The sequence below is a fragment of the Homo sapiens genome, chromosome 15, assembly GCF_000001405.40.
Source record: "Homo sapiens chromosome 15, GRCh38.p14 Primary Assembly".
In the NCBI taxonomy this organism is placed as follows: domain Eukaryota; kingdom Metazoa; phylum Chordata; class Mammalia; order Primates; family Hominidae; genus Homo; species Homo sapiens.
In genome coordinates this window covers 93184268-93203861 of record NC_000015.10, presented here as the reverse complement: position 1 = coordinate 93203861, position 19594 = coordinate 93184268, and the positions used below count along the sequence as shown (strand labels likewise).

Below are 19594 nucleotides of genomic sequence, written 5' to 3'. Positions count from 1 at the left end.
TTAAATAAATGTTGGAGAAAGTGTCGGAAAACAAATCTTCCTACAGGTAGTTGGAAGCAGCGTCAATTATTTTAAAAATTTTGGAGGGTAATCTGGCAACATACAGCAAAAGTTTCTCAGATGTTCATTTCTATTGATCTAGAGATTTTACTTCCGCAGATTTATCCTAAGGAAATAAACATGAACATGTGCAAAGATTTACTGACAAGGATATTCACCAAAGTACTTTCAAAGTCATAAGAAGAAAGTAAATTGGGAGGAAAAACTAACTTCCTCAAAGTTGAAATAAACTCTGGTACATTTGTTTTAAAATATATCTAAAACCTACTTAGCCATTCATCACGTTGTAGAGGAATATTTAACAACATGAAAAGAGGTTTTCCATATCCCAAGAAATGACCTAGCAGGTTATATGTCAGTGTGCAGAGTCTGTTTCTTATTTGCAAAATACAATCATATCAGTTTTAAGTTCCTACTGGAAACAGCACTCAACTAGGACAACGGGAGGATGGGTCATTGACAAAGGGGTAGGAGCAGGGAACTAAAAGGCCAGCACAGGAGCTCAAAGCTAGTAAGTAGCAAAGGGCCCAGGGCAGAAGCCACTGCAGGCACAACAGAGAAGTGTTAAGTAGGCTGCCCTGAGAGGGACAAATCAGCCCCAGGCAACTCCACAGGGAGGAATCAGGGACATAAACAACTTGACCTCTCTCCTCTGTTAGATCTGTGCCCTGAGCACCTCACTGTCTAAACCCAGCAGAAACCCAGGGACACAGAAGCCCCTGTGCAAGTGTGGCCCACTGTAGCCCAACCTCTTGGGCAGAGAGAAGAAGGGGACACAACACCAGCACAACCACATGTGTGCCACATGCATAAAACTAATGGAGGAAGAGCCATCAGAAGGTCAAAGGGGCTCATGTCTTGGCCGCTTACTCACAGGTGAATTTTTGTTTTCCTCTTCTTACCTTTCTGCATAGTCTATGATGGACGTATAGTACTTTTGGAATCACAGATGAAAGCCACCCGTGTTGAAATAAATTCACAACCCATTATAGTATGCTCATGGTAGGGCCGTGAAGAAAACCAACACTGGCCCCACTGCAAGAGCTGGGGACATTTTTCTGGTGTGTGAGAGAGGAGGCTTAGCTATTTTCAACAATCCGAAAGTCAGTCCTATGGAGGAGGGATTAGATTTGGTCTGCAGTTAGCCCAGGACCAAAAGGCAAAATGACAGGCGGGCAGATGCCAATCAGCCTGATTAAAGCTGCCTGGAAATAGCACATGTTTCCTCAAGCATTCCTGAGCTGTCTGGTCCTGAGGACAATTTAAGCAGAAGCCAGAAAACTTCCTGGTGGACATTCTGTAGAGGTACCTGAAGGATCAGATGGAGCTTTGTACTAGACAAACTTCCAAGTATCTTCTAGGACAAAAGAGAGTAAATTACTATTTTAAAGTATATAACAATGGTGACTGTCATAATTTATTTAATAGTGCTTGCTCTGGTTTTAGGGGTGGAGCAAGGTGGGAAGGGGTGTTTAAGTGAATTCTTGTTATCTCAGACATTTAGCTCCAAGAAAAAGTCTCTCACGAAAAGTATACTGGTAAAAACACTTAGACAGAAAACTCAAATTGGCATAACCAAACAGCCTAGATGCCAAGCTTGGCTGGATCCAGGCACTCAAATGACACATCAAGGCCCGATATTTCTCCACGTCTTGGCTCATTCCTTTATCAGGCTCTCTCTTATGGGGAAAGGGTGTCAACAGGCTCACATCCCCACCACTCCAAGTCCAGTGCAAAAGACAATACCTATTTGTAAATTCTTGGGCCTCAAGTCGTGAGATAAGCTCTATTTGAGCATGATTTGTTTATGGGTCAGCTATCTGTCCCTGAAATATTTACTTTGGCCAAAAGGATGCTACATTCTGGCCACCTCTGGTTCCTTCGGAATAATAGAGAGGAAATATGAAGCTGGCATTAAAAATAGCCTCATTTGGCCTGTAATCCCAGAACCTGGGGAGGCTAAGGCAGGTGGATTGCTTGATCCAGGAGTTCGAGACCAGCCTGGGCAACATGACTACCAAAAACCTAAAAATTATCCGGGCATGGTGGTGCAAGCCTGTAGTCCTACCTATTCAGGAGGCTGAAGTGGGAGGATCTCTTGAGCCTGGGAGGTCAAGGCTGCAGTGAGCTGTGATCAAGCCACTACACTCCAGCCTGGGAGACAGAGCGAGACCTTATCTCAAAAAATAAATAAAAAATAAATTAGTAAAAGTTTCATTCTAAGTTCTGAATGTTTTTCCCTCTGTGTGGGAATTTGACTCAAGCTCTTTTCAGCTATTGGTCTTGTTCTTCAAATGAAATCGCAAGCAGAGCTACTCTATCTGGAATAACTCAGAGAGTGGGTTGCTAAGGAAAAATTCCCAAGTTGTTGAGGCCACCAGAGAGGAAAGGAATAGCTTCAGGAACGCCACTCTGTGAGCACATCATGGATGCCTTGATTTCCCAACCTGGAGGCCAGCCCTTCTTGAAGTTCCATCTATTTGATATCAAAGGGTGCCTCTTCTCCACCTAAAATGATTGTAATTCTCTGGCCAACTGAGAAATTTTCAGTGCAATAAATTCAGAGAATTCTTGACTATAGGATAGTTCAGAGCCTTTAGTGTTTGAATCTGCATTGGGAATATCCAGAGGAAAACACCAAGTGCAGAATTTCTAAACCTACTTGATCATGAAATCATCTGAAGCATCTCTCGGGACTAGTATTCCCTGTAACAAACTCGGGGACACGCTGCTCTAGGGGAGACAGTTTTTCTGACCCTGCCCTACCCTGCCCTGCCCATCATTTTCATCGGGATCACAAAGTAATAAAAGATTACTGAGAAAGGCAGGCTTTGTTCCTCCATCACCTCTCTGGAATGTTTAGAAATGAATATAATAACACAGAGATAAGACCCATCAAATCCCTGGCTTGTCAAAAGAAATCCTTTCTCCATCCAACCTGTTACATGGTTGCTGGAATCAAATTGCAAAAATCCTACACTAACTCCAGCTCCAGTCAGAGAAGAGACCACTGGTGGACTACCCCAAGAGGACTTTTGGCCGCCACGGGAACTCGCAGTCACCTCTGGCAAACCTCTGTCTGCAGCTGCAGAAGATCAAGTCAGGCTCACATCTGTTCCCCAGACACCCCACACTCCACCCCAGCTTCCCTGTCCAACAAAGCCTGGCCAGGTTTTCACAGTTAATCCCTCCAGGCCCCCAGCTCATCTTCTCCCTTCTTACTCCTAAGAATTCTCAGAGATCAAAGCCAAAGGCTTGTTTGCATAACATTCCACAGAACACCTTAAATTCCCAGCTTGAAAGGAGGCTGAAAGAAGGTCACACATACTCTATTGTTGAAATACTTAAACAGCAAGACATGACCAAAGTGTTAACATATGAACCAGCATCATCTCTCTGGACTTTGGGGGTCCTGTGAAGTGAGGGCCTTCCCCCAGTAAGTCAAATATAAGCATCTGATGAGAAGTCAACTAGAATTCTCCTTGGAGGTCACTCTGAGTTGACTCAGGCAATACACTGATTCTGAGATGGAAATTGAGAGCTACTGCCATAACCCAACGGGTCAGCCTTCAAATTCAAATGAGGCCTGAAATGTTCATTCCGGATGGCCCCTCTGATCCATTCAGTTCCCTGTTCTTCCTCCCCACGGTCTTGGTTCACAAAATAATATGGCTTTTTAGAACAGAAAGGTCATCTAGTCTGGAGATTTTCAAACTTTCTGGCAGCAGCAAAAAAAAATTGCAGACACAATCTTACACAGGGCTCTAATTTAAAGCAAATAAATTTGGGGTCTCTGAAGGAGGGTAAGAGTGAGCATAGAAGGATTTTCACCTTCTCAGTCACCCCTCCACCATAGTGGCTTTGGGCTCCCACAGCTTGAAAAGTCCCTGATATTGTCCAACGCCTTCAGATTACACGAACGCTGAGGACCCAGAGAAGGAAAGGGAACTTCCCAGTCTCACGTGGTACACACTACAGAGCCCACTGAAATCCAGGTTTCAATTCCTGGGCAAAGCTATCTTCTCCTTCCAAACAGCTGATGCCACCACAATCAACCAAGTCTCTCTCTTGTGCTCCAAACCTTAAGTACTCATTGGAGCTCATACCTTTGCTCTTCACTTCAAAACAGTCTCCAACATGGTCAGTCCTACTTTCAGAATGTCCCTTTTCTGTTCTCACCATCACCACCTTTCTTACTGAGAAACACCAGGGACCCGGCATCTGTCCCTCCTACCCTCAGCCCCCGTGCCCAGGCTCTGCAGTTGCTAGATCCTGTTTCCTAACCTTGGTTAACCATTAAAATCACCTAGGAGCTTATTAAAAATATAAATTCCTGGGCCCAGCACTAGACCTAATGAATCAGCATTTCCAAGCGTGGGTCCAAGAATCTGTGATTTAAATAAGTACCCCTAGATAATTGATGATTGGCTAGCTTTGGGAAGCATTACATTCAACGAGGTTGTGTTCCTTATTCATATCCATCACCCAAAGCAAAGGAATTTTCACATTAAATCACAGCCGTCTTTGCTGGTGTAACTTCTCTGGACACCTGTTTGGAATTATGGAGGGAATGGTCTCTGCAAAACCCTTCCCTCATGTATTCTAAAGACACAACCACAGACATGAGCAAAGATGTACCTGTTATGATGCTCACTGCTGCACTAAAGAATGGAAATGTTCACCAATGAGGGAATTGAGTCAATAAATTTTGGTATATACATGCAATCTTATACATTTACTAAAAAATATTTAGAATATTAATAACATGCAAATATGTTCACATTCTATGAATATAAACACAACATGCTACAAGAGTCAATGTACAATAGGATTCTATTTTTTCATATGCATAAAATAACTAAAAAGAGAAACAAGAACATATTAATGATATCTCTAGAATGGTGGTGGGAATAGTGGCATTGTTTATTTCCTTACTTGTATTTCTTTCAATCTTCCAAAATGGCTATAGAGATCATGGATTTCGGCATCTATACAAAAACAAAGCTACCTTGAAACTATCTTGAGAGGAGAAAAAAAGAGCAAGTTAGAGGATCGAGATGATGGTTTAAGATGCGTTACTGTTTATAATCTTATCCATACCACTTAAAGTGACAAACAAGAGTTTTCTTGTTTTGCTGTTGTTATTGTTTTAAGTATAACTTCATAAAAGCTCTGGACAACAGGAAGGCATACCAGCCATAGGGCAGATATCATAAGAAATTCCTGGCATGCAGAAAGCTAATGGGGTCCCTAGATATTTGAGGAAAATCAATAATGTGAAGGAAGAGAATAAAAACAAAATCTCTTAGTATGTAGGTAAAAGAGACAGGTTTTAAATAAGAAAGAAAACATATTTGAAGAACGTATCCAAAAATCTAACTTCCATCCATTGGGAGGAGAAAACAGAGAAAATGGTGAAAAGGGAGAAAAACAAAAGAACTAATGGGGGAGGAGGGGAATGGTCAATGGAAGAAACAGCATTCAGATTAAAATAGCCTACTGAGTAGATAATACAATAATAGTAAAGCTGAACTGTTTCAGAGCAAGACACTGAGCTAAATGGTTTACATGCAGTATGTATTTTCATCTTTGTAGCAACCCTGTGAGTTCCCAACTCATAATTTCTCCCACGGTACAGATGAGAAAACTGTTTAGAGAGACTAAAATCACTTGCCCAAGTATAGACAGCTACTAATTAATGGAGCCATATGCTTGATGAAATTTTAGTACACCTAAGATATTCTAAGAACTTTCTTTCTTTTCCAGAAAGAAAAGAGCCTCATCTTTAAGAAATAAGAAATACATAGAAATAAAACTCTTCTTCAGCAATACTGGATTTTAAAAGGCAAAAGATTTATTCATTCTGAAGAGAAACCAGACTGGATTTTAGAAAAAAGCACCAAAGTCACAGAGAAAATTATTTTGAACCTAGAATACTATATGCAGCAAAAACAACAACTATAAAATGAAGACATTTTTAATCATTAAGTACTCAAAATGTTTGCATCCAGACTCTCACTGGAGAATGAGTCAAGAATTCTATAAATTAATTAATTAATTCCAAAACAGAAGGGTGTGGGATTTGAGAAATAATGGTTAACAAATCAATGAATAAAACATAATTTAGTCTAAATAAATACTGTAATATAATGCTAAAAGGAGAAGGAAAAAAAAAGGAAAAAGAAGGAAGATGGAGAGGAGAAGAAGGAGGAGGAGGAAAAGAAGAAGAAATAAACCCCCGATAATTATAGCATGTAAGGGGATAAAAGCTGAGGAGGAAAAGTAATAGTGTGCTAAAGTCAAAGAAGAAAAGATAAGAAAATTATGTTATTTATAAATAAATAATAATAAAGACAACATATGAAAGTATGTAGAAACATAGCTAAGGTATTTCTTAGAGAAAAATTTCTGAGTGTGTGTGTGCATGTGTATTGTGTGTGCCTGGGTGTGTGTATCACTCATTCATACACACACACACACACACACACAAACTTAATATTTAATTAACAAGGCCAGGCATGGTGGCTCACGCCTATAATCCCAGCACTTTGGGAGACCGAGATGGGCTGATTACTTGAGGTTGGGAGTTGGAGACCAGCCTGGCCAACATGGTGAAACCCTGCCTCTACTAAAAATACAAAAATTATCCAGGTGTGGTAGTGGGCACCTGTAATCCCAGCTACTTGGGAGGTGGAGGTAGGAAAATCACTTGAACCCGGGAGTTGGAGGTTGTGATGAGCCAAAATTGTGCCACTACACTCCAGCCTGGGCAAAAGAGGGAGACCACCTCAAAAAAAAATGTATATATATATATATTCTTAATCAACAAGGCATGACATCAGTGGAAATAGTGGAGTAAGGACCTCTGAAAGTCTTCTCCTCCATTAAAGAAATAAAAATGCTGGTAGAAATGGTCAAAATCAGCATTTTCAGAACTGTGGAAGTTAACCAGCAGTTGCGGAAATCCATGAGGCATTTATTCAAGAAAATGGCTGAGTCTCAGTAAGAACAGCAAGCTTTGTGGCATTTTAACTTCCTGACTCCTTCTCTCTAGCCCCATAGTAGCTTTGAAAATTGACAGTCCTCCAGACAGTCCTGCAAACAGCCCTGAAAACCAGCAGCCTAACAGCCACTCCAAGAGATAAAATGAGGTTGAATGTTCTCCAGAATCCCCTTCAGAGAAGTGTCATAATTTGTCATATCTGGCATTTTCCTGGAAAATCCCACCACCAGCATTTGTCTTTATTTGACCTGCCTCAGAGCTTGCTCAGTACGAACAGCGTTTCCCTAAGCTTCTATCCAAAACAATCAGCAGCAATTGTGTAACATTGCAGCTGCCTGAGGCAGTGATATCAGTTAGGACAAACAACAACCAGGAACCAAAAAAAAAAAAAAAAAAAGAAGAAGAAAAAGCCAGGAGTCAGGTATCAATGGGGCTTTGGAAATGTCTGTCATTCCTGAGAAGCTAAGAGGCCACATGTGTGCATAGGGCCATGTGCATGCCGGGGGATATGCACGTGTTCAGTAAAGATCTGAGAAGTCTCTAAGCTCTCACATATGGACGACCCTGAGGCTCTGCACAAACAGAAGGTGAGGGCTAAGGCAGAGTTGCAAACTGCCTGTCTAAGGATTGAAGTGTGCTCCCAGTACACATGTCACTAGCAGGCCTGCCCTAAGATAAATAAAGAGTGCCCCAAAGGCAGAAATGAAAGAGCATTAGACAGTAATGCAGATACATGTGAAGAAATAAAGAGCACTTATAAAGATAATGACATAAGTCAATAAGTAAATACAAAAGACAATGTACATTTAGTTTTTGTTTGTGAGTCATTTTGGCTCCTATCTGATTTAAAACACAACTAGAGGCCCGGTGAGGTGGCTCACGCCTGTAATCCCAGCACTTTGGGAGGCTGAGGCGGGCAGATCACGAGGTCAAGAGATTGAGACCATCCTGGCCAACATGGTGAAACCCCGTCTCTATTAAAAATACAAAAAAATTAGCCAGGCGTGGTGGCAGGCGCCTGTAGTCCCAGCTACTCAGGAGGCTGAGGCAGGAGAATCGCTTGAACCTGGGAGGTGCAGGTTGCAGTGAGCCGAGATCTCACCACTGCACTCCAGCCTGGCAACAGAGCGAGACTCCATCTCAAAAAAACAAAACAAAACAAAACAAAACAAAAAACACACACACAACTAGATAAAGTGGTCATTATAAACATTTTTATAAATTATAAAAGTATGCAGAAAGTTTATAAAAGTGTATAAAAAGTGTATTAGTCTGTTCAAGCTGCCACAACAAAATACCACAGACTGGATGGCGTAAACAACAGAAATCTATTTTTCCCAGTTCTGGGTACTGGGAAGTTCAAGATCAAGGTACCAGCTGATGCAGTTTCTGGAAAGGACTCTCTTCCTAGATTGCAGATGGCACCTCCTTATTTTATCCTCACGTGGCTGCAAGACAGAGTGCTGGAGTTTCTTCCTCTTCTCAAAAGGGCACCAGCACCATTAAATTACATCTCTACACTTTTGACCTCATTTAACCTTTATCACTTCCTCACAGGCTCTACCTCCAAATACAGGGGATTAGAACTTCAACATACGAATGGGGGCAGGGAGACACAAACATTCAGTCCCTAACAAAAAGTTTATAAATTATAAAGGTATACAAAAAGTTTATTTTAAAAGTGATTATACGGTACATTATTATTAACTATAGTCACTGTGCTGTGCATTTGATCTCCAGAATGTATTCATCTCATAACTGGAAGTTTGTGCCCTTTGACCAGCATCTCCCCATTTCCCCCGACACCCTGTCCCGTGATAACCACCACTCTACTCTGTGCTCCTATGACTTCAACTCTTCTAGATTCCACATATAAGTGAGATCATGCAGTATTTCTCTATCTATCTGGCTGATGAGAACACATGGACACACGGTGGGGGAAACGATCACACTGGGGCCTCCTGGAGGGTGGAGGGTGGGAGGAGGGAGAGGATCAGGAAAAATAACTAATGGATACTAGGCTTAATACCTGGGTAATGAAATAATGTGTACAAAAGACCACCATGACATGAGTTTACCTATATCACAAACCTGCACATGTACCCCTGAACTGAAAATAAAAGTTAATAAATAAATACAAATTTGGTAAGAGAGATCTTAAGTATGCTCACACACACAAAAAGGTAACTACGTTAGATGATGAATACGTAAATTAGCTTGATTGTAGTAATCATTTCACAATATATATGTATTGTAAAACATCACATTGTACACTTTAAATATATAATTTGTATCTGTCAATTATGCCTTAATAAAGCTGGAAAACAAGATGATTATAAATGTGCTATGTTGAGCACATAGTGTATGTAATTTGTAATAATAACAGCATAAAGAAGGAAGAAGGAATGGAAATATCTCAGAGCATACACACAAATGAGATTAAGTTGGTATTAATCTGAACTATATTGTTATAAATTAAAATGTTAATGATAAGCACAGAGCAACCACTAAGAAAATAACCTAAAAAATACGTAGTGAAAGAGACAAGGGAATTAAATGGCGCATCAGGATATATTGATTTAACACATCAATAGAAAAATGACCACAGAATATAAACAAATATTCAAAAAATGAAAATAAATAAGAATGGAAAATAAATATACAAAAAGATGATCAACCACCCTACTAAATGGAGAAATATTACTGTAAATGGTGGGGTATTTTTAATCCATCAAATCAGCAAAAATTAAAGTCGGTGTTGCCAAAGTATGCTAAAATTAGGACCCTGGTATGTTGAATGTAGGAGTGAAAATTGGTGTAGCCTTTGGGGAAGGCGTTTTGGCTGAGTCCATCAAAATTTAAAATGTACGTGCTCTTCGACCCAGCAAGACCACTTCCAGAAAGATATCCGTATATGCATGCCCAGGGTCAAGTGTGAGAATGTGCCCTTGAGCAAAACACATGTCTGAATATAGGGTATTTTGGTCTTTAAAAAAAACCTGATAGTTGATTAAAATGATAAATATAAAAATACTTTATATAATCTTGAGTCTTATAAAAACACACCAATCACTATACCTCCTTTTGTCTTTTTGTAGCTAGTAGAAGAATTTTTGTGGGGAGAGATTCACTTACTTTGAGAAAATGTGAAGAAACTTTGCCAAAACAGAGCTGAGCTTCTGGGATCTAAAAGTGGGCAGGAAAAGATGCTACTTCACACAGAGCAGAAGGAAGAAGAAAGGAAAGGAGAGATAAGAGAGGCTGCATGCTTTATGATGTGTCCTTTTTCCAAGACTGTGCACCCCCTCATTCTCCAAATAACTGTCAATAACATTAATAAATTCATCAGGAATTGTGGATCCACTATATTTAATCTCTATGTCCCAAATCAGTCCTTATGTATCCCCAGGGTGTAAGCCCATTCCCCCAACACGCACTGCTCCGTGACTCTCCCACACAGACATTCGTCCCCACTTAGCTAACAATCTTTTACCTACATGGAGTTACCGTTGGTAAGATTGTTCCAGTGACACATATATTGGTATAAACATTTTTAAATCAATATCAAAGGAAAAGCTTTATGATTTTTTGGATTTGTCAATAATTTCTTGGTTAAGACATCAAGAGCACAGACAACAAAATTCAACAAAAGCAAAAACAGAGAACAGAGACTGCTTCAAACTGAAAAACTGTTCATCAAAAGACATAATCAAAATAATGAAATGGGAGAAAATATTTACAAATCACATAGATGATAACAGATTAATAGTTAGAATATGCCAGGCGCTCACGCCTGTAATCCCAGGACTTTGGGAGGCTGAGGCAGGCAGATCACGAGGTCAGGAAATCGAGACCACCCTGGCCAACATGGAGAAACCTCGTCTCTACTAAAATACAAAAAATTAGCCAGGTGTGATGGTGCGCACCTGTAGTCCCAGCTACTCAGGAGGCTGAGGCAGGGGAATCACTTGAACCCGGGAAGCGGAGGTTGCAGTGAGCCGAGATCGTGCCACTACACTCCAACCTGGCGACAGAGCGAGACCCCATCTCAAAAAAAAAAAAAAAAACCCAGGCGCAGTGGCTCATGCCTGTAATCCTAGCACTTTGGGAGGCTGAGGCAGGCAGATCATGAGGTCAAGAGATGGAGACCATCCTGGCTAACAAGGTGAAACCCCGTCTCTACTAAAAATACAAAAATTAGCTGGGCGTGGTGGCGGGCACCTGTAGTCCCAGCTACTCAGGAGGCTGAGGCAGGAGAATGGCGTGAACCCAGGAGTCAGAGTTTGCAGTGAGCCAAGATTATGCCACTGCACTCCAGCCTGGGCAACACAGCGAGACTCCGTCTCAAAAAAAAAAAAAATTATAACACATAAAGAATTCCTACAACTCAACATAAAAAATCAAATAACCCAATTTAAACAAAGGACTTGAATAGACGTTTTTCCAAAGGTGATATACAAATGGCCAACAAGCATATGAAAAGATGCTCAACACCACTAATCATCAGAGAAATGCAAATCAAAACCATGATGAGATATTGCCTCACACCCATTAGGATGGCTACTATAAAAAAAAGTGTTTGTGGTGGTGTGGAAAAGTTGGGACTCTTGTGTACCGTTGGTGGGATTATAAAATAGTGCAGCTGCTGTGGACAGTACAGAGGTTCCTCAAAAAATTAAAAATAGAACTACCATATGATCCAGCAATCCCACTCCTGGGTATATACCCAAAGGAATTGAAAGCAGGGTCTCAAAGGGATATTTGTATACCCATGTTCATAGCGGCACTGTTCACAAGAGACAAGAGATGGAAGCAACCAAAACATCTGTCAATGTATAAATACATAAACAAAATGTGGTATTACACACAATGGAATACTTCCTTAAAAAGGAAGAAAATCTCATTATATGCTACAACCTGGATGAACTGAGGACATTATGGTAAGTTAATAAGTTCGTCACAAAAGGACAAATTCTATATGATTCCACCTATATAAAGCCTCTAAAGCAGTCAGATTCCTAGACAGAGAAAGTCGAATGGTGGCTGGGGGAGAGAGGACAAAAAGGAGCTGTTGTCCAATGGGTACAGATTTTTTTTTTTTTTAAGACCGCTGGAGTGCAGTGGCGTGATCTCAACTCACTGTGACCGCCGCCTCCCGGGTTCAAGCAATTCTTCTGCTTCAGTCTCCTGAGTAGCTGGGATTACAGGCACCCACCACTACACTCGGCTAACTTGTGTATTTTTAGTAGAGACGGGGTTTCACCATGTTGGCCAGGCTGGTCTCAACCTCCTGACCTCAAGTGATCCACCCGCCTCAGCCTCACAAAGTGCTGGGATTACAGGCGTGAGCCACCGCGCTCGGCCAGGTACAGAATTTGAGTTCTACAAGATGAGATAGTTCTGGAGATCTCTTTGATAGCAGTGCAGATATACTAAACGCTACTGAACTGTATACTTAAAAATGGTTAAGAAATGTTAAGATGGTAACATTTATGATATATGGTTTTAACCACAATTTAAAAAATATAACAAAAGATGCTTTTCTGATGTAGAAGGACTTTTTCTTGACTTTATGTGCTAGTGAATTCTTAAGAGCTGTAGCTAATTAACATTGGCTTGACAGGATGCTCACAGCTATGCCATTGCTGGGGGGCTCTGGGAAAAAGTCCTTGGCTTTGATCCACAAGGTACAAGAAGGTAATCTGTCCCTCGGAGAACTGTGTAATGCCAGCTTTCATCCTCACTGCAGCTGGCTGGAGCTAGATCGATGCTGGACCTTCAGTGGATCACAGAACCTTTCTGAGGTTGGGATAATAATGTAATACAATGAAATAATGTAGGTAACCTGCTCAGCCTCATGCCTAGCACAGAGAAGGTGCTCAGGAAAGGCCGGGCGCGGTGGCTCACGCCTGTAATCCCAGCACTTTGGGAGGCAGAGGCGGGCGGACCACGAGGTCAGGAGATCGAGACCATCCTGGCTAACACAGTGAAACCCCGTCTCTACTAAAAATACAAAAAAATTAGCCAGGCGTGGTGACGGGCACCTGTAGTCCCAGCTACTCCGGAGGCTGAGGCAGGAGAATGGCGTGAACCCGGGAGGCGGAGGTTGCAGTGAGCCGAGATTGGGCCACTGCACTCCAGCCTGGGCGACAGAGCGAGACTCCGTCTCAAAAATAAATAAATAAATAAAATAAAATAGAAGGTGCTCAGGAAAATAAAAATTCACTTAGTCAATCAGTGTGAGAAGAAGCAACCTGTCCCTCTCAGCACCAGTGTCAAAAGGAAAAGACTCTCAGAGAAATTAATGCAGGAATGCAGGAATTCATCGATCATGGAATCTGTGTGTGGGGAGGGTGAGAGGGGCAGAGAAGAGTAGAAGGAGGAGGAGGAAAAGGAGCAGAGGAAGGTAAGGGGAAGGAGAGGAGGGAGAAGAAAGAAGTTCAAAAACCGAGGAATCACAATTCACGGAGCATTTCCATAGCACCTCCCCGAGCGCCAGGTACTGCTCTAAATGCCTCGCGGATATACCTCATTTAATTATCACAGTAATTCCATGAGGCAGGGACTCTACGTCCATTTCCCGGGCTGATAAACTGAGATATAGAGTACTTAGGTAACCTACCCGAGATGCACACAGAGCCAGAGCTTAAACCCCTTCTCGCTATTTCCAGAGTCAGGCTCTTCGCCACTTCACCATCCTGCATGTCAGGAAAATGAAATATGAAGAAAATTGCCAATTCTTCCATTGTTCTACTAGAAGATAATTGAGCCACTGACTGAGGCTCTCCTGTGCCCACTAGCTCACTGCCCTGACTGCATTTTATTGGAAATTTCAGCTAACTCTCACCACCTCCCACTAAACCGCTTTCCTGAGGGCAGAAATCCATCTTCCAGCTGTGAATCAGGATTTGCCACAGGAAACCCCTGCCTGCCTCCTAACACCTGCCATTCATTAGACACTGAATCTGGTAGGGCCGTCCTGGGATCTGAAGGTCTTTAGATCGCCAGGGCCACGTTTCTGGGAGGCTGGTGCATTTGGAACCGCCCTATCATTCTGGGAGGCCTCTGTGTCCCCAGCTGCCCTGCAGAGTCGCTGTTAGACACTGCACACCTGCCCCGCACCCCAGATGCAGACTCCGTAATTCTTCAGGTCAGCCCCAGTTCATGTAACTGGCTTTTCTCAATCAAAGGCATTTGCCAAGTGTTCAAGGATTATTACAGCGATTTGTTACACTGAGAAGACTTTTCATCTGGATACATTTGCAAGTCAAAGAAAACCGTTTCTTAGCCCACAGGTCTTAATCACTTTGTTAATCTTAAAGCAGCTGTGATCTTAAAATTCAGTGCTATCAGTAAAGACAATATATAGAGACAAAGACAGACAGAGATAAAGACAGAAAGAGACTAATGTGGAAAACACATTTTAATTTTTTTAATTAAAATGTATTTTAGGCCAGGTACGGTGGCTCATGCCTATAATCTCAGCACTTTGGGAGGCTGAGGGAAGGGGGTATGGCTTGAGCCCAGAAGTTCAAGACCAGCCTGGGCAATGCATTTCTCTAGAGACCCATCTCTAGGGGGAAAAATAAAAATAAAAAATAAATAAAAATGTATTTGAAATAGAAAAAAAAAAGAGAAAATGTCCATAAGCAAATAGTGGAGGAAAAAAAAAGTCACCCTATTCAGAAACAACTACCTTTAGTGTTTTAATGTATACCCTTCCAGATATTTTTCTCCGCACATGTGTTTATATAAAAGTGAGATTATAGCTGCCACTTTTAACCTGCCTTTTCTTCTGCACATTATTATACCATTCTTCCAGCTTTCCATGCTTCTTGTCATTATTCTCACTGTACTTTACTGGAATTTTCCATCATGTTTTTTGACCCAAAAGTATTCTATAAAATGAACGTATCCTACTTATTTTGCCAACCCTCTATTCTTGAACACTAGATTGAGTCCAATTTTTTCTCCTGTAAACAATTCTTTAATTATCTCAACATCTGAAACAAATGCCACTCATCTAAAAGACTGGAACTCAAGAAATACACTACCAGCAGCAGTCTGAAATCATAGGAAATGGACTCTTATTCTGAATTTCGTTTTCTTTCTGGACTTTATATTTCTAAGTCCTTTTCTGTCACCAAACCATTTTACCCATCTAAGAACTCCCTCTCCTCACTCCTTCTCTCCATTCCTGGCTACTCATCTACCAGTTTTTCTGAAACAACTTCTTCCTTCCCTTTTATTAAGTGCACTTGTGCTATATCCGTTCCCTTGCTTTTATCCACTCACCCTCCGTACTATTGACTCATGCCACCCTTTGAAGCCTACTGCACAAAAGACACACGCAAAGCCCTGTGGGGATCAAAGGGTGAAAACAGAACATCCTGAGTCCTAAAGGAATTCAGAATCTAACTGGAGATGCAAGGTATATACACAGTGGTATGCTGATAAATTGGCTCTCTGAGGGGGAAAAGCCCTTGATGTGTATAGGTTTGCCAATTTCCATGCTATAGAATATTCCCACCATGGCCAACTACCAATATGATGTAACTGAGCTGAAGGCTGGGAAGAGACGAGATGCACACAAACCAGCTGTGTGCAGGACACAACTACATGTACATGAAAAGCTATAATACATACATGTGTATATACACACATATATACACATACACATATGTGGGTACATGTACATGCATATGTATTTTAGCTTTTCATGGGCATACAGTCATGTATATTCATACATATAAATAGACAAGACAGTCAGAGCAGACATTTAGAAGTAGGCAATCATGTTATCATCATTATCATCATTATCATCCTCATTATCAATACAGTAAAATGTATTGAGTGCTTACAATGCATCCAGTGCTGTGTTCAATGTTTTATATGCATTACTTTATAACTCTCCTATGAGAGGTATTATTATTACCACCAATTTTACAACTCCACCCTTGAAAGTGGGAGTCTTGAAGAAGGAGATAGTTTGCCCTTGGTCATTCAATGCAATAAATGGCGAAGTCAGGATTAAATCAAGGTCCATCTGATTCCAGAGCCCAGGCTCTGATGACTTCCCTCTCCTGCTGCTTCAGGCCAGGGAGCCAGGCCTCAGGGCTTCACACTGTGGACCCCAAGGGGCAGACCAGCCATGAATCCAAAGAGGTGAACTGGTGGTCCTATCAAGCCATGTGACCAAGGTTCTCAAATGCACGGTTCTCCAAGGTGCATTGCACCCGTTCTCCAAAGCACTGTGAAGGCTGATTCCTAACACCCAAAATTTCCCTTCAGCTTACTGTATAATTTTATCTTCATTTAGTTCCCTCCTTTTCTTACCAAAAGCCTCCCTGGGTCTTTTTGTTTTATTTTTAACTGTAACTTTTCTTGCGCTTATTTGTTTATAATTTGTCCCTGGAATTCTTTTTTAAAATTTCTACCTTGTTACTAATTTTCAGTGATAATTCTTTGTTATGAAAACTGGGAGACAAAGAACTTGTAGAACAAGAAGGAATGAATAAATGTAAAGAAGGCAGGTGATGAAACCATAAAAATTCTAGAAGATAACGTCGTAAAAACTCTTCTGGACATTGGCTTAGGCAAAGAATTCATGACTAACACCCCAAAAATAAATGCAACAAAAACAAAAAAATACATGGGAGCTAATTAAACTAAAAAGCTTCTGCACGGCAAAAGAAATAATCAGCAGAGTAAACAGACAACCCACAGAATGGGAGAAAACATCCACAAACTATGCATCCGACAAAGGACTAGAATCCAGAATGTAGAAGGAACTCAAACAAATCAGCAAGAAAAAAGCAAATAATCCCATCAAAAAGTCGGCAAAGGACATGAATAGACATTCCTCAAAAGAAAATATACAAACAGCCAACAAAACATGAAAAAATGCTCAACTTCACTAATCATCAGGGAAATGCAAATTAAAACCACGAGATACCACCTTACTCCTGCAAGAATGGCCATAATTAAAAAGTCAAAAACAACAGATTGGATGTGGTGAAAAGGGGACACCGTTACACTGCTGGTGGGAATGTAAATTAGTGCAACCGCTGTGGAAAACAGTTTAGTGATTCCTTAAAGATCTAAAAGTAGATCTACCATTGGATCCAGCAATCCCACTACTGGGCATCTACCCAAAGGAAAAGAAGTCATTATATGAAAAAGCACATGCACACACATTTATAGCAGCACAATTCACGACTGCAAAGATATGGAACCAACCTACATGCCATCAACCAACAAGTGAATACAGAAAATGTGGTATATATACACCATTAGATACTACTCAGCCATAAAAAGGAATGAAATAATGTCTTTTGCAGCAACTTGGATGGAGCCGGAGACCATTATTCTAAGTGAAATAACTCAGGAACGGAAAACCAAATATTGTATGTTCTCACTTATAAGTGGGAGCTAAGCTATGAGGACGAAAAGGCTTAAGAATAATATAATGGACTTTGGGGACTCAGAGGGAAGGGTGGAAGGGGGTGAGGGATAAAAGACTGCACACTGGGTACAGTGTATACTGCTCAGGTGATGGGTGCACTAAAAACTATTGAAATAAAACATAAAAAAAGTTTTCAAGTAGGTGAAAGGCCCAAAGGGTGGGCCAGATGACACTGTGTCAGCAGGATAAGGTTGTCATTCAGAAAGCACAGGTATATATACAATAGGAGTGTTAGTGTAGGAATTTTGCAATAATTCTCCCATTCCTCGGCTCTGGAGACTCTGAGTCTAGTTCCACAACAGAAGGACTTGAGAAAATTGGACAGAATTCAGCAGAACCCCACAAAGATGAGTAACGAATTGAAAAATGAGACCAAAGATGCCAGGTTAAACACACAAAGAATCTTCCTGCTGACACAGAAGGCTGAAAAGAAGAGTGAAAATAGTTTCCATTGAAGAAAAGAATGAGGAATTAATATTTCTCAAGCAGTAACCACGTGCTGGGCATTGTATTTGGCATTTTATATACATTATCTCAAATAACTTACAGTAACCCTTCAAAGTAGGTCTTATTAACCTTGTCAATCAAAGAAAATGACGAGACAAGTCTCAATCATTTTTGGAGATTTATTTGCCAAAGTTAAGGACGTACCCAGAAGACAGGTCAATGCCTTTCTCTGAAGATGATTCTGAGGTCTCCAAATTTAAAGGGGAAAGGGCGGGATATTGAGAAGCACACAGTTTTCACTTAAAAGGGGCAAAGGAAAAATGTGGGGAATCTGCACTTTATATTAGATAACACACACAAAATATGCATTTGTGTCTGGCAGGCCGGGGTGACTGCACCTGTAAAGATAAGCTATCAATTAGCATTGCCACGGTGAGTTTGGGGTCCCGAAATTTAATTTCCTTTTACAATCTCCATGCTTTCTGATGGTAACACAATGTCTACAAGGGTTTGGTAACTTGTTCAGCCCACACAGCTGACATGTGAAGAGTGAGAAAGCAAACCCCTGGCTCATGCTGCTGTAAACCCATGTTTTTTCTACTGTAAAGACTGCCTCTTGGCCAGGCATGGTGGCTCATGACTGTAATCCTAGCACTTGGGGAGGCCAAGGCAAGTGGATCACTTGAATCCAGGAGTTCCAGATCAGCCCAGGTAACAAAGTGAGACCCCGGCTCTACAAAAAAATAATAAAAATGAGTTGGGGATAGTGGTGCGTGCCTGTAGTCCCAGCTCGGGAGGCTTAGGTAGGAAGATTGCTTGAGCTCAGGAGATCAAGCCTGCAGTGAGCTGTGATCGTGCCATTGCACTCCAGCCTGGGCAACAGAGCAAGACCCTGTTTCAAAAAAAAAAAAAAGACTGCCTCCTATTGAGCTAGCACAGTTTCTCTACTGTGGTGCAAATGACATTTGTGGTCAGGTATTCTTTGCTGTGGGTATAAGGAGCAGGAGCAGGTAGGGGTTAAGAGCACAGGTTCCAACCGCCTTCTGCCCAGATTAGAATCTCCACCTTTCCACTCACTAGCTGTAAAACCTCGGGAGTTGTTCTTAGTCTCTTCTGCCTTAGTCTCCTCATCTGTACAATGGGAATAATCACAGTATCCACCTCATAAACTACTGTGAGGATTAAATTGTTAATGACTGTATATTAAGCACACAGAACAGTACCCAGCCTGACCCAACAGCTCTGTCAGTGTTACTGTTATCTTTGAGAAGGAAAGGCCTTTACAGGCTGTATTATCTATTCTCTAACTTTCAGGAACCCAATACATGCCAAAGTTAATAGCTTACACGGTCGATTCATTTTTCCTTATTTCTGGCCAAAATGACTGCTAAAAAAATTCTTAGGCAAAATGGAGATCCATTGAGCACTCGATCTGCTATAAACTTCTTCAGTGACTCTTCATTGGAGTCTTGACTCTTAATTCTCCCCCTGGACACACTTGACCATATTTAGAGACTTTTTTTTTTTTTTTTGAGACGGAGTCTCACTCTGTCACCAGGCTGGAGTGCAGAGTCGCGATCTCGGCTCACCGCAACCTCCGCCTCCCAGGTTCAAGTGAT

The 19594-nt window shown here is 41.2% G+C and overlaps 2 annotated features.

Moving 5' to 3' along the window:
* Positions 13575 to 14104: an enhancer, noted in NCBI's record as "OCT4-NANOG-H3K27ac hESC enhancer chr15:93732987-93733516 (GRCh37/hg19 assembly coordinates)". NCBI's record gives its function as "activates a minimal SCP1, AML or CMV promoter by ChIP-STARR-seq in naive H9 embryonic stem cells {active_cell/tissue: H9 hESC(naive)}" and the evidence as "EXISTENCE:reporter gene assay evidence [ECO:0000049][PMID:30033119]".
* Positions 14105 to 14636: an enhancer, noted in NCBI's record as "OCT4-NANOG-H3K27ac hESC enhancer chr15:93732455-93732986 (GRCh37/hg19 assembly coordinates)". NCBI's record gives its function as "activates a minimal SCP1, AML or CMV promoter by ChIP-STARR-seq in naive H9 embryonic stem cells {active_cell/tissue: H9 hESC(naive)}" and the evidence as "EXISTENCE:reporter gene assay evidence [ECO:0000049][PMID:30033119]".